The sequence below is a fragment of the Homo sapiens genome, chromosome 1 (genome assembly GCF_000001405.40).
Source record: "Homo sapiens chromosome 1, GRCh38.p14 Primary Assembly".
Classification (NCBI taxonomy): Eukaryota; Metazoa; Chordata; class Mammalia; order Primates; family Hominidae; genus Homo; species Homo sapiens.
In genome coordinates this window covers 64,788,059-64,800,587 of record NC_000001.11, presented here as the reverse complement: position 1 = coordinate 64,800,587, position 12,529 = coordinate 64,788,059, and the positions used below count along the sequence as shown (strand labels likewise).

Here is a 12,529-nt window from a genome sequence, read left to right as displayed (position 1 = left end):
ATTAGGGAAAATATTACTTGACTTAGACAAATAACTTCAGTACAGCCCCTTCAATAAATTATGCTGGGAAAACGGAATATTCATATGCAAAAGAATGAAGCCAGACCCTTATCTCTCACCATATATAAAAACCAACTCAAAATCTATTAAAAACTTAAATGTAAGACTAAAAATTGCACAACTACTGGAAGAAAACATGGGGGAAACACTTGAGGACACTGATCTGGGCAAAGATGTTATGGGTCACACTTCACAAGCACAGGCAACAAAATCAAAAATAGACAAATGGGATTTTATCAAACTAAACAGCTTCTGCACAATGAGGGAAACAATCAATAGGGTGAACACGTACAACTTGTAGAATGGGAGAAAATATCTGCAAATTATTCATGTGACACAGGATTAATATCCAGAATATACACAGAACTCTAGCAATTCAACAGCAAAAAAAAAAAACAAAAAACAAAAAAACACCCCAAATAATCCAATTTAAAAATGGGCAAAGGATCTGAACAGACATTTCTCAGAAGGCATATAAATGACCAACAAGTATATGAAAAAATGTTCAACATCAGTAATCATCAGGGAAATGTAAGTCAAAACCACAATAAGATACCATCTCACCCCAATTAGAACAGCTAATTCTAATTATCAAAAAGACAAACAAATAATAAATGCTAGTGAGGATGCGGAAAAAAGGGAACTCTCTTACACTGCTGGAGGGAATGCAAATTAGTACAGCCATTATGGAAAACAGTACGATGGTTTCTCAAAAAAACAAATATAGAACTACCATATGGATCCAGCAATCCACTAATGAATATTTATCCAAAGAAAAGGAAATCACGGCCAGGTGCAGTGGCTCACACCTGTAATCCCAGCACTTTGGGAGGCTGAGGTGAGTTGATCACTGGAGGTCAGGAGCTCGAGATCAGCCTGGCCAACATGGCGAAACCGTCTCTACTAAAAAATACAAAAATAGCAGGGTGTAGTGGTGCATGCCAGTAATCCTAGCTACTCGGGAGGCTGAGGCATGAGAATCGCTTGAACTCAGGAGGCAGAGGTTGCAGTGAGCTGAGATCATGCCACTGCACTCCAGCCTGAGCAACAGGGTGGGACTAGCTCAAAAAAACAAACAAATAACAACAAAAACAACAACAAACCAAAGAAAAGGAAATCCATATCTTGAAGAGATATCTGCATCCTAATGTTTATTGCAGCATTATTCACAGTAGCCAAGATATAGACTAAGTGTCCACCAACAGATGAATGGATAAAGAAAATGTGGTACATATACACAATGGAATACTATTCAGCCATAAGAAAAAAGGAAAGCTGGTCATTTGCAGCAACCTGGAGGACATTATATTAAGTGAAACAAGTCAGGCACATAAAGATAAATACTGCATGTTCTCCCTCATATACAGGAGCTAAAAAAGTTGAGCTCATAGAAGTTGAAGGTACAATCATGGTTATTAGAGTCTGGGAAGAGAAGGGAGAAGGGGATGATAGGGAGAGGTTGGTTAATGGTTACAAAACTATAGCTAGATAGGCTGATTAAGTTTTCATGTTCTATAGTACTGTAGGGTGACTAAGTTAACAAACATTTATTGTATATTTTGAAATAGCTAGAAGAGAGGACTTTAAATGCTCCCAACACAATGATATGATGGATGTTTGAGGTGGTTAATATGCTAATTACCTTCATTTGATTATTACAGATTATATACATGTATTGGACCATCAGTCTGTACCCCATAAATATGTATAATTATTACATGTCAATTAAAAATTTTCTTAATGGAAAAAAACTTGAGTGGAGGAGTTAATTTTTTTCAAATTCTGTAGTTGAAGTACAAAAAATAGAGTTTTTAAGACACATCCCTTCTTGTTAAATTAATGACCACCTGGGGAAATACATCTAAATTACAAAGCCCTAGATGTATTACCTATGAAAGATTAATAGAAGTCTCTTCCCTCAAAAAACTATTATGGAAACCACAAATAACAGATATCAAAACACTTTTAAAACTACACTTTTACATTGTTGGTGGGACTGTAAACTAGTTCAACCATTGTGGAAGTCAGTGTGGCGATTCCTCAGGGATCTAGAACTAGAAATACCATTTGACCCAGCCATCCCATTACTGGGTATATACCCAAAGGACTATAAATCATGCTGCTATAAAGACACATGCACACGTATGTTTATTGCGGCATTATTCACAATAGCAAAGACTTGGAACCAACCCAAATGTCCAACAATGATAGACTGGATTAAGAAAATGTGGCACATATACACCATGGAATACTATGCAGCCATAAAAAATGATGAGTTCATGTCCTTTGTAGGGACATGGATGAAATTGGAAATCATCATTCTCAGTAAACTATCGCAAGAACAAAAAACCAAACACCGCATATTCTCACTCATAGGTGGGAATTGAACAATGAGATCACATGGACACAGGAAGGGGAATATCACACGCTGGGGACTGTGGTGGGGTGGGGGGAGGGGGGAGGGATAGCATTGGGAGATATACCTAATGCTAGATGACGAGTTAGTGGCTGCAGCACACCAGCGTGGCACATGTATACATATGTAACTAACCTGCACAATGTGCACATGTACCCTAAAACTTAAAGTATAATAAAAAAAAAAAGAAAAAAAAAAACTACATTACTTTAAAGTCACACATTATTGATGGAGTAGCCAGTAGTAATACTGCAAATATCAGAAAAGGATTTTCCAAGATAATAGAAAATACAAACCCACTTGGCAACTTAAAATATATTTTGTTAAACATATAAACATATAGATATAGATAGATACGGTGATATTAATTTTTAAAAGCTGGTGGCTACTTTAATATCAAAAAAATCCAGATCAAAAGATATTACCAGGGATAAAGATCACCATTTTGTAATGATAAATGGGCCAATTAATCAAGAGGATGCAACAATCTTAAATGTTTGTGCACCAAATAACAAAGCTTCAAAATATATGAAGCAAAATTCACAGAACTGAAAGGAAAAGTAGACAAACCCAAAATTATGATTAAAAATTTCAACAACTCTTCTTCTCTTTTTCATATCATCACTGTATTTTATTATAAAAAACTGAAATAATTTTTCTTCACAGCTTTTTACTGAACACAGTACCTTCCAGTTTATAACAACAACAGAAACAACAATCAGAATAAAAACAGTCTGAAAATGTCCATAGCATCATGCCTACCTGCTCTTACCCTTAGCTATGGCTAGGACTCCCACTATGCCCCATCCTTCTCCTCAGTATAACTGATAGAATAAGTTGATGAAAAATCAGTAAGGATATAGGAGACATGAACACTATCAACCATGTTGATCTAACTGACGTGTATAGAACACTCCACATCCAGTAAGAGCGGAACATATATTCTTCTCAAGTGTCCATGGACTATTTGCAAATATAGCCTGTATTCTGAACCATGAAACAAGTCTAAATTCTAATTTATAAATTTAAATTGTACAAAGTATCATCTCTGTCTATAAGTGAATTAAATTATAACCAAAAAAATCTAGAAAATCTCCAAATTTTGGAACTTAAGTGACACAAATAACCAACTGACCAAATAAATCAAAATGGAAACCAAAAAGTATTTTGAAATGAATGAAAATAACATATCAAAATTTGTGAGATACAGTGCTTAGAAGGAAATTTGTAATACTAAACACATTAAAAGAAGAAAGGTCTCAAGTGAATAATCTAGTTTTACTTTAAAAAACCAGAAAAGGAAGAACAAAATATGTTCAAGGTAAGCAGAAAGACATAATTAAAGCGGAAATCAATGAAATAAAAAACAGACAACAACCAGAGAAAGTCAATGAAAACAAAAGCTAGCTCTTTGGAAAAATCAATAATACTGATAAACCTTTTGCCAGACTTATCAGGAAAAAAGAGAGAAGACAAAAATATCAGGAATGTGAAAGAGGCCATCACTATAGATCCTGCAGAGATTAAAGAATAATAAGGGAATACTATGAACAATGTTATGCCAATAAATTTGATAACTTACACAAAATAGACAATTTCCTTGAAAGATACAAACTAGCAAAGCTCACTTAAGAAGAACAAGATCCTGAAATAGCTCTTACATATTAAAGAAATTAAATGTGTAGTCAGAAATCTTCCTTAAAAAATTTGACACAGCTGATTTCACTAGCGAATTCTATCAAACATATGAAGAAGAAATAATAGCACTGAACATAAACTCTCCTGATGACTGAAGAGAGGGAATATTTTCCAAATCATTCCATGAGGGCAGCATAATAAAACCAGAAAATATATTACAAGGGAAGAAAACTACAGACCAATATACCTCATAAACATAGATGCAAAAATTTCAAACTAAATTTTATTAAATCAAATTCAACAATATATAAAAAAGATTATAATATAACATGACTAAGTGAGGTTTACCCTAAGAATAAAAGGTTGGTATAACATTCAAAAATCATCAATGTAATGTATCATGTTAACAGATAGGAAAAATATATGATCATCTCAATAGATGGAGAAAAGCATTCAACAAGTTCCAGCAACCATCATGCTAAAATTCGGCAATTAGAAATAGATGGTAAATTCCGCAGCTTAATAAAAGAAATCTGTGAAAAAAAACTCTAGCTAAGATAATACTTAATAATTAAAGAATGAATACTTTCTCCATGAGATCAGAAATGAGGCAAGGATGTCTGCTCTCACCAGTTCTATGCACAATTGGAATTTCTATCTAATGCAAAAAAGCAAGGAAAAAAATAGAAGCCATACATGTTGGAAAGGAAGAAGTAAAATTATGTTTATTTGTAGATAACATAATCATCTACATAGAAAATCCCAGCAAAAACCTACTAGAAATAATAAGTGAGTTTAGCAAGACTGTAGGATATAAGATAAATAAATATTTAATCAGTCATACTTCTATATGCTAACAACAAGCAACAGGACATTGAAATTAAGACAGCAGTACCATCTAAAATAACATCAAAAAATATGAAATACTGTGAATAAATCTGACCAAAGATGTATAAGATTTGTATCTGAAAAAATAAAACATTGCTGGGAGAAATTAAATATGACCTCAAAATAATTGAAAAGATATACCATACTTATGGATCAGAAGCCTCAGAATTGTTGTGAATTCTGCCTAAATTAGCATACAAATCAACACAATCTCAATCAAAATCCCAGCCGACATTTTTCATAGAAATTGGCACTCTGATTCTAAAATTTATAAGTCAATGCAAAGAACCTGGAATGGCCAAACAACTTTGAAAAAGAAGAATAAAGTTGAAGGACTTACACTAACTGATTTCAGGATTTATAACACATATATTTTGGTATAGAGACAGTATTGATATAAAGACAGTACTGGTAAAAGACAGACATTTAGGTCAATGAACACAGTTTAGTTATAGCCTCATGCATATATGGTGAACTGATTTTTGGGAAATGTCAAAATATTCAATGAAACATTATCTTTCTAAACAAATGATGCCAGAATAATTGTATAACTATATGTAAAAAAAAAATCTGGACTCTTACCTCATACTACAAACTAAAATTAACTCAAAATAGATCATAGACCTAAATATAGGGATAAAAATTATAAAACTTTCTCCAAGAAAACATACAAGAAAATCTTAGAAAACCTGAATTTGGCAAAGATTTCTCAAATATGACACAGGAAGTACAAATTATAAAAGAAAAAATAATAAATTGGATTTTGTCAAAATAAAAAATTTTGCTCCTCAAAAGACACTGTTAAAAAAATATTTGCAAACCATATATCCAACAGAGTACTTGTATGTAAAATAAAAAAACACTCTTACAACTTGATAAGAAGACAAACAACTCAGTTTTTAACACGTGCAAAATATTTGAAAAGACATATCACCAAAGAAGATATAAAGATGACAAATAAGCACAATAAAAGAAGCTCAAAATCATTAGTCAAAAGAAATATTCAAATTAAAACCACAGTAAGAGAGCACTATACATCCAATAGAAAGGCTAAAATTAAAAAGACCAACAGATCAAGTACTGGTGGGGATACTAAGCAAACTGGAGCCCTAGAAACTGATGGTGAGTATGTAAAATGGCTCAACCACATTGGAAAACAGCTGGGCAGTTTTTTTTTTTTTTTTTTTTGAGACGGAGTCCCCATTTGTCACCCAGGCTGGAGTGCAGTGGCACGATCTCGGCTCACTGCAAGCTCCGCCTCCCAGGTTCACGCCATTCTCCTGCCTCAGCCTCCCGAGTAGCTGGGACTACAGGCGCCCACCACCACGCCCGGCTAATTTTTTGTATTTTTAGTAGAAACGGGGTTTCACCGTGGTCTCAATCTCTTGACCTCGTGATCCGCTCGCCTCGACCTCCCAAAGTGCTGGGATTACAGGCATGAGCCACTGCGCCTGGCCCAGCTGGGCAGTTTCTTACCACTTAAACATATATCTACCATATGACTCAGCCATTCCACAGATAGTTAATTATCAAAGAGAATAAAAGCATAAGAAATAAAAGCATAAAGACTAGTACACAAATGTCCATAGAGATTTTATTTGTAATGACCTCGAACTGGAAATAATCCAGATGCCCATCAACAAATCAATGAATAAGCAAATTATAGAATGAAATACCACTCAGTAATAAAAAGAAAAAAATACTACTAAGCCATGTAACAACGTGAATGAACCTCAAAACAGTAAGCTAAGTAAATGAAGCCAAACAGTACAGACTGTGCGATTCCTCTTATACCAATTTCTAGAAAATACAAACTGTAGTGACAGAAAGCAGATCAGTGGTTTCCTGGGGACAGGATAGGGGATGGATTACAAATGGACAAAAAGAAGCTTTAGGGGGTAATTTATACGTCTATTATTTGATTGTGGTAATGATTTCATGAGTATATACATAACATCAAAACATATCAATTCATACACTTCAAATACCTACAGTTTAATGTACATAAACTATTCCTCAATAAAGCTGTTTAAAAATAGTTTATCCTAAAAAAATACAGTTTATACTATCAAGTGATTACACAACAGTTAAATTAGGAACACACACATACATAAAGAAGTCTAGAATAATTATATTTATTGTATTTTTGAAGGTAGTTAAAAGGTCTAGATTGAAGAGAAAAGATCAGCTTGGTCAGAGTAACATAATCAAAATTGGACCTGGGAGGGAAATTAATCTAATAGCAGTTGGAGCTTCCATTTTAGTGGTAGAAATAGACAATAAACAAGTACCTGTATAATATATGTCAGTTGTTTTTAAAATTACACAATGATAAAGAAGCAGAGCAAGGGTATAAGAATTACAATTTTTTTTTTCTTTTCTTGAGATGGAGTCTCGCTCTGTTGCCCAGGCTGGAGTGCAGTGGTGCAATCTTGGCTCACTGCAACCTCCGCCTCCAGGGTTCAAGTCATTCTCCTGCCTTAGCCTCCCGAGTAGCTGGGACTACAAGTGCATGCCACCATGCCCAGCTAATGTTTGTACTTTTAGTAGAGATGGGGTTTCGCCATGTTGGCCAGGCTGGTCTTGAACTCCTGACCTCAGGTGATCTGCCCACCTCAGTGACCCAAAGTGCTGGGATTACAGGCGTGAACTACAGCACCCAGCCAAGAATTACAATTCTTTATCATTAATTTAGTTGGCTCAGAGAAGGCCTTTGTGAGGAGTTCAGGATATAGCAAGGCTACAGTTATGATATAGTAAAGGACATAGTAAAAGAAAAATAAACGGAATTTATTGATTAACAAGACACTGTCTTTTTTTCTCAACATCAAGAAACTTTCCACACATTTTCCAGCTATGTATGTGCTCAAGTGAGGCAGTGATTTAATCCTCTTCCCTTTCCACCCCACACAAGAAAAAGCTATGCTTATGAAATAACTTCTGCATCAGTGTAATATTCAAACATCTTAAAATTGAGAAAGCACTAAGTATAAAGAAGTCTACTGCCATATGGCCATACATTAATCTGAGTAGAACAGCAGAGTGGAGAATATTTAGTCTTAGATGAAAAGAAGAGACAAAAATAATACTTGAGATGAATTAGTAAAGATAGCCCAGAGTCCAAAGAGGCAGATGATACTTTCTAAAAGACCTAAGAATGTGGTATACTTCTTTAGACACTAATACATAATCTTGGACTGCATTAAGGGAAATATAATGATAATAGGAAGGAAATCCCACTGCATTCTGTGTTAATCAAAACCAATATACAGAATATGTTTGTGTCTGTGCACATCATATTTTGGGACAACCCAGAAGACCTAGACTATATCCACAAGAGAACAACTTGTGGGGGATTTAAAGCACATGTCCTGTGACATGTTATGGGAAGTCAAATATAGAACTGTAATCTGCAAAGAGATATAAGATGTATAAAAAGAGAATTGCAGAAAAAAATACCATCTCTATTTATGTTTACTTTCATCTTAAAAAAGGAAAACATTAGGTTTGATCATTTCTAAATATATGGATTGTCAATGGTCCATCTGTTTAACTGACATCTTTTACATATATGGTATATACTGGGGCTCTGCTCAAAATTTATTTTACTGATAAAGTTGCATTGTAAAAAAAAGAACTGGTCTGGAGAAAAGAAGACAGGTAAAATAAAAAATGACTGAGGTTTCATGGTAGTTGTCTTCAAATATTAGGAGGCTTTTATTATGCAAGAAGGAATACATTTATCCTGTATTTCTTCAGAGGTGGAACCAGAATAAGTGGCTAAAAATTACTTATATTAGTAATATAAAAACTTTCCAGTAACTGAAACTGTCAAACCAGGGAATAGGCTGCCTTGGGAAGTAATGAGCTTCTAATCCTTCATGTTGTCAAGACAAAAAAGAGTATCTCTATACTATTAAAATTGTAAAAGAGATATCTAATTGCATAATAGCCTGAGCCAGAAAACTACCAAAGCTGCTTCTTACACACAAATAATTATATGAAGTACTGAATATGAATATTGTTGTATAATAAAGAATTTGACTGGCCTTTGTCCCTGGTTCCTGAGGGAGACTCTAAATCCTTGTATTTTCTTGAGTTACAGGAGTGTCTTTGATATGCTACTGAGGTAACTCATTATGGACACATAGATAGCTTCAGGATGAGGGCTGGCTGTGCAGAAAGACCAACTCTATAAGGAGAGGTGGAGCTTTGCATCATGTGATATCAGCCTGACCTTCTAACTTCCAGGGAATGGAAGCAAACTAGAGACTGAGTTCAATCATGGGGCCCATCAATCACACTGACATAGTGAAACTCCAATAAAAACTCTGGACATCGAAGTTCAGTAGAGATCCCCAGTTGGAAAACATATTGATGTGTTGGGAGGGTGACATGGCCTGATTTGATGGGTAGAGGACACAGAAGCTCTGCATTCAAGACCCTCCAAGACTTTTCCCTAAGTGTATCTTCCCTTGCCTGTGCTCTTTATAATAAAACTGTATTCATAAGCATAGTGCTTTCCTAAGTTCTGTGAGTCATTCTATTGAACTATTGAACCTGAGGGCACTGTGGGAACTCCCAAATTTGTAGTTAGTTGGTCAGAAGTGCACATGGCCTGGAGAATCCCCCGAACTTGTGTCTAGGTCTAAAGTGGGGGCAGCCATATGGAAGATTGAGCTCTTAACTTGTGGGGTCTGTGCTAACTCCAGGTAGTTAGTGCTAGAATTGAATTGCAGTAGGTGAGCTGGTGTTAGACCAGTTGGGACTGAAACATAATAAATGTATTTAATATATTTGCTCTATACATATTTGCTGTAAACTTAAATGTTGAATACATTAGTTCCCCCTTATCAGCGAGCGATATGTTCCAAGAACCCCAGTGGATGCCTGAAACCATAAATAGTACCAAAATTTATATACGCTATGTTCAAACTTCATTTTCCTTCTTCATAATTTCATGGATAGAAAATACATTCTTACTGTAGATCTTAGCAATTTCAGCACACAGTTTGTTTTTCCCTATTAAGTTGGAAATGTTTTAACCTTTTCACTGAAAGGATGCACTTTGCAGCTTCTCTTTGGCATATCCAAACTGCCAGCATCACTACTCTTGCGCTTTGGGGCCATTATTAAGGAAAATAAGGGTTACTCGAACATAAGCACTACAATACCATGACAGGTGATGTGATAACCAAGAAGGCTACTAAGTGATTAATGGGTGGGTAATGTATACAGAGTAGGTACACTGGACAGAGGGGTAATTCATAGCCAAGGCAGGAGAAGCAGAATGGCAAAACATTTCATCACACTACTCAGGATAGCATGCAGTTTAAAACCTATAAGTAGTTTATTTTTGGAATTTTCCACTTAATATTTTCAGACTGCAGGTAACTAAACTGTGGAACACAAGAACATAGATAAGGGGAGACCACTGTATAGGCATTCATTTCCTCATAATGCTAAAACAGACATTTTTGTACATAAAAAGTTGTACATTTCAGAATGCACAGAAGGTAAGCTCTTACTAGAGAAAGAATACTAAATAGGTAGATATTTAATGTATACTGATATTATAAAGATTTGCATAACACTTAGAAAATAATAATGTTTTCATCATTTGCTACAAAGTGAAACAATTTTACAACAAAAAGGGGAAGAACAAAGAGGAAACAAACACTTGGCACTTTTCAACAAAATAATTCTGCTAAAAATATTACATAGAAGAGTATTAATTCTTTGTTAATATAGGTTATAACAATGTAGTGTGTTAACCTTTACCTTGGTCTATAAATTCATGTCAACTAAGAGCTAAACAGAAGGTTTGATATTTAGCATTTATTAATAGTAAAAAATACCACATAAGCAGGTTGTATATGTCAAAAATAGTCAAAATATATCACCTCAGATTATTGTTAAAATTCATTAACAGGTCCTAGAAAAATTAAATATTTTATACTAATTTAAATATATTTTTCACAAATCAATGTATTTTTCCATATTTCACATGTGAAAAAATTAACTTCATGCTAGCATTCTTTAATTAATCAGTATACATACATGGTCCATACCTGGTTTAACAGCTCGTCCACATAACTGGGGCTGTAGAAGAACTTGCAACATGGCAGGGTTGTTTAAACTTTTCATAATTTGTACTGGATTTGGCTCTGGAAGTAAGCCCTTTTGATTACTGTGCATCTGCAATGAATATAGAAATAAGAAACATTAGAACAGCATAAGTACAAAGACACAATTTCAAAGGCTTTCTTCTAGAAATCCTCATTCATCTGACAAGATCTATTTTATGATAAACATAATTTGATTTATATTATATATCTATTTTATACTCTCTACTGCAGTTCTCAATTATACATATGGCATAAAATCCTCATAGAACGTCTCAGGTAAATACCAACTGGCTTTAAGAGGACTGACAATTTAGCACAATGAGTCTCATCATATCATACAAATAGAAGGATGACAAGGGAATCTGAAGTTATTAATAACTTGTTGACACAATATGGATACTTTGATACTACAGAAGAGCCTTCTTATAATGTTGATTTAAAGTTTAATTGGCCAGGCAAAGTGCCTCACACCTGTAATCGTGACACTTTGGGAGGCTGAGGCAGGAGGATCACTTGAGCTCAGGAGGTCAAGATCAGCCTGGGTGACATATTGAAACCCTGTTTCTATATTTTTACAAATAAAAACTTCAAATAAAAATAAAATAAAACGAAGTTTAACAATGTGGGTTGCCTTACAATTCAAAATCTTCTTTTTTTTTTTTTTTTGAGACGGAGTCTCGCTCTGTCACCCAGTCTGGAGTGCAGTGGCGTGATCTCGACTCACTGCAAGCTCCGCCTCCCGGGTTCATGACATTCTCTTGCCTCAGCCACCCGAGCAGCTGGGACTATAGGCACCCGCCACAACGCCTGGCTAATTTTTTGTATTTTTAGTGGAGACGGGGTTTCACCATGTTAGCCAGGATGGTCTCAATCTCCTGACCTTGTGATCCACCACCTCGGCCTCCCAAACTGCTAGGATTATAGGTGTGAGCCACCGCGACTGACCCAAAATCTTCTTTATTATTGTTTTTTTATTTTTATTTTTTGAGACGGAGTCTCACTCTGTTGCCCAGGCTGGAGTGCAGTGGCGCGATCTCGGCTCACTGCAAGCTTTGCCTCCTGGGTTCACGCCATTCTCCTGCCTCAGCCTCCCAAGTAGCTGGGACTACAGGTGCCCGCCACCACACCTGGCTAATTTTTTGTATTTTTAGTAGAGACAGGGTTTCACCATGTTAGCCAGGATGGTCTTGATCTCCTGACCTCGTGATCCACCCACCTCGGCCTCCCAAAGTACTGGGATTACAGGCATAAGCCACCGTGCCCAGCCCAAAATCTTCTTTTTTATAAAGGTCTTTACTTGATTAACTTAATATGAGATTAAAATGAGCTGGCCTTACATACATGCAATCGAGTAGCTTCCTAAAAACATGAAATAATTTTCAGTTTTAAAAACCAGCTT

At 35.3% G+C, this 12,529-nt stretch overlaps 1 protein-coding gene across 3 annotated transcripts in view; it reads right to left on the bottom strand.

Moving 5' to 3' along the window:
• RAVER2 (ribonucleoprotein, PTB binding 2) overlaps positions 1-12,529 on the bottom strand; it is an 88,158-nt gene that overhangs the window by 32,645 nt on the left and 42,984 nt on the right. For all 3 annotated transcript variants that reach the window (NM_001366165.2, NM_018211.4, XM_011541706.3), the window contains exon 5: positions 11,074-11,200. In NM_001366165.2, the coding sequence (NP_001353094.1) occupies positions 11,074-11,200 (127 nt within the window). The remainder of the gene's footprint in view (positions 1-11,073; positions 11,201-12,529) is intronic.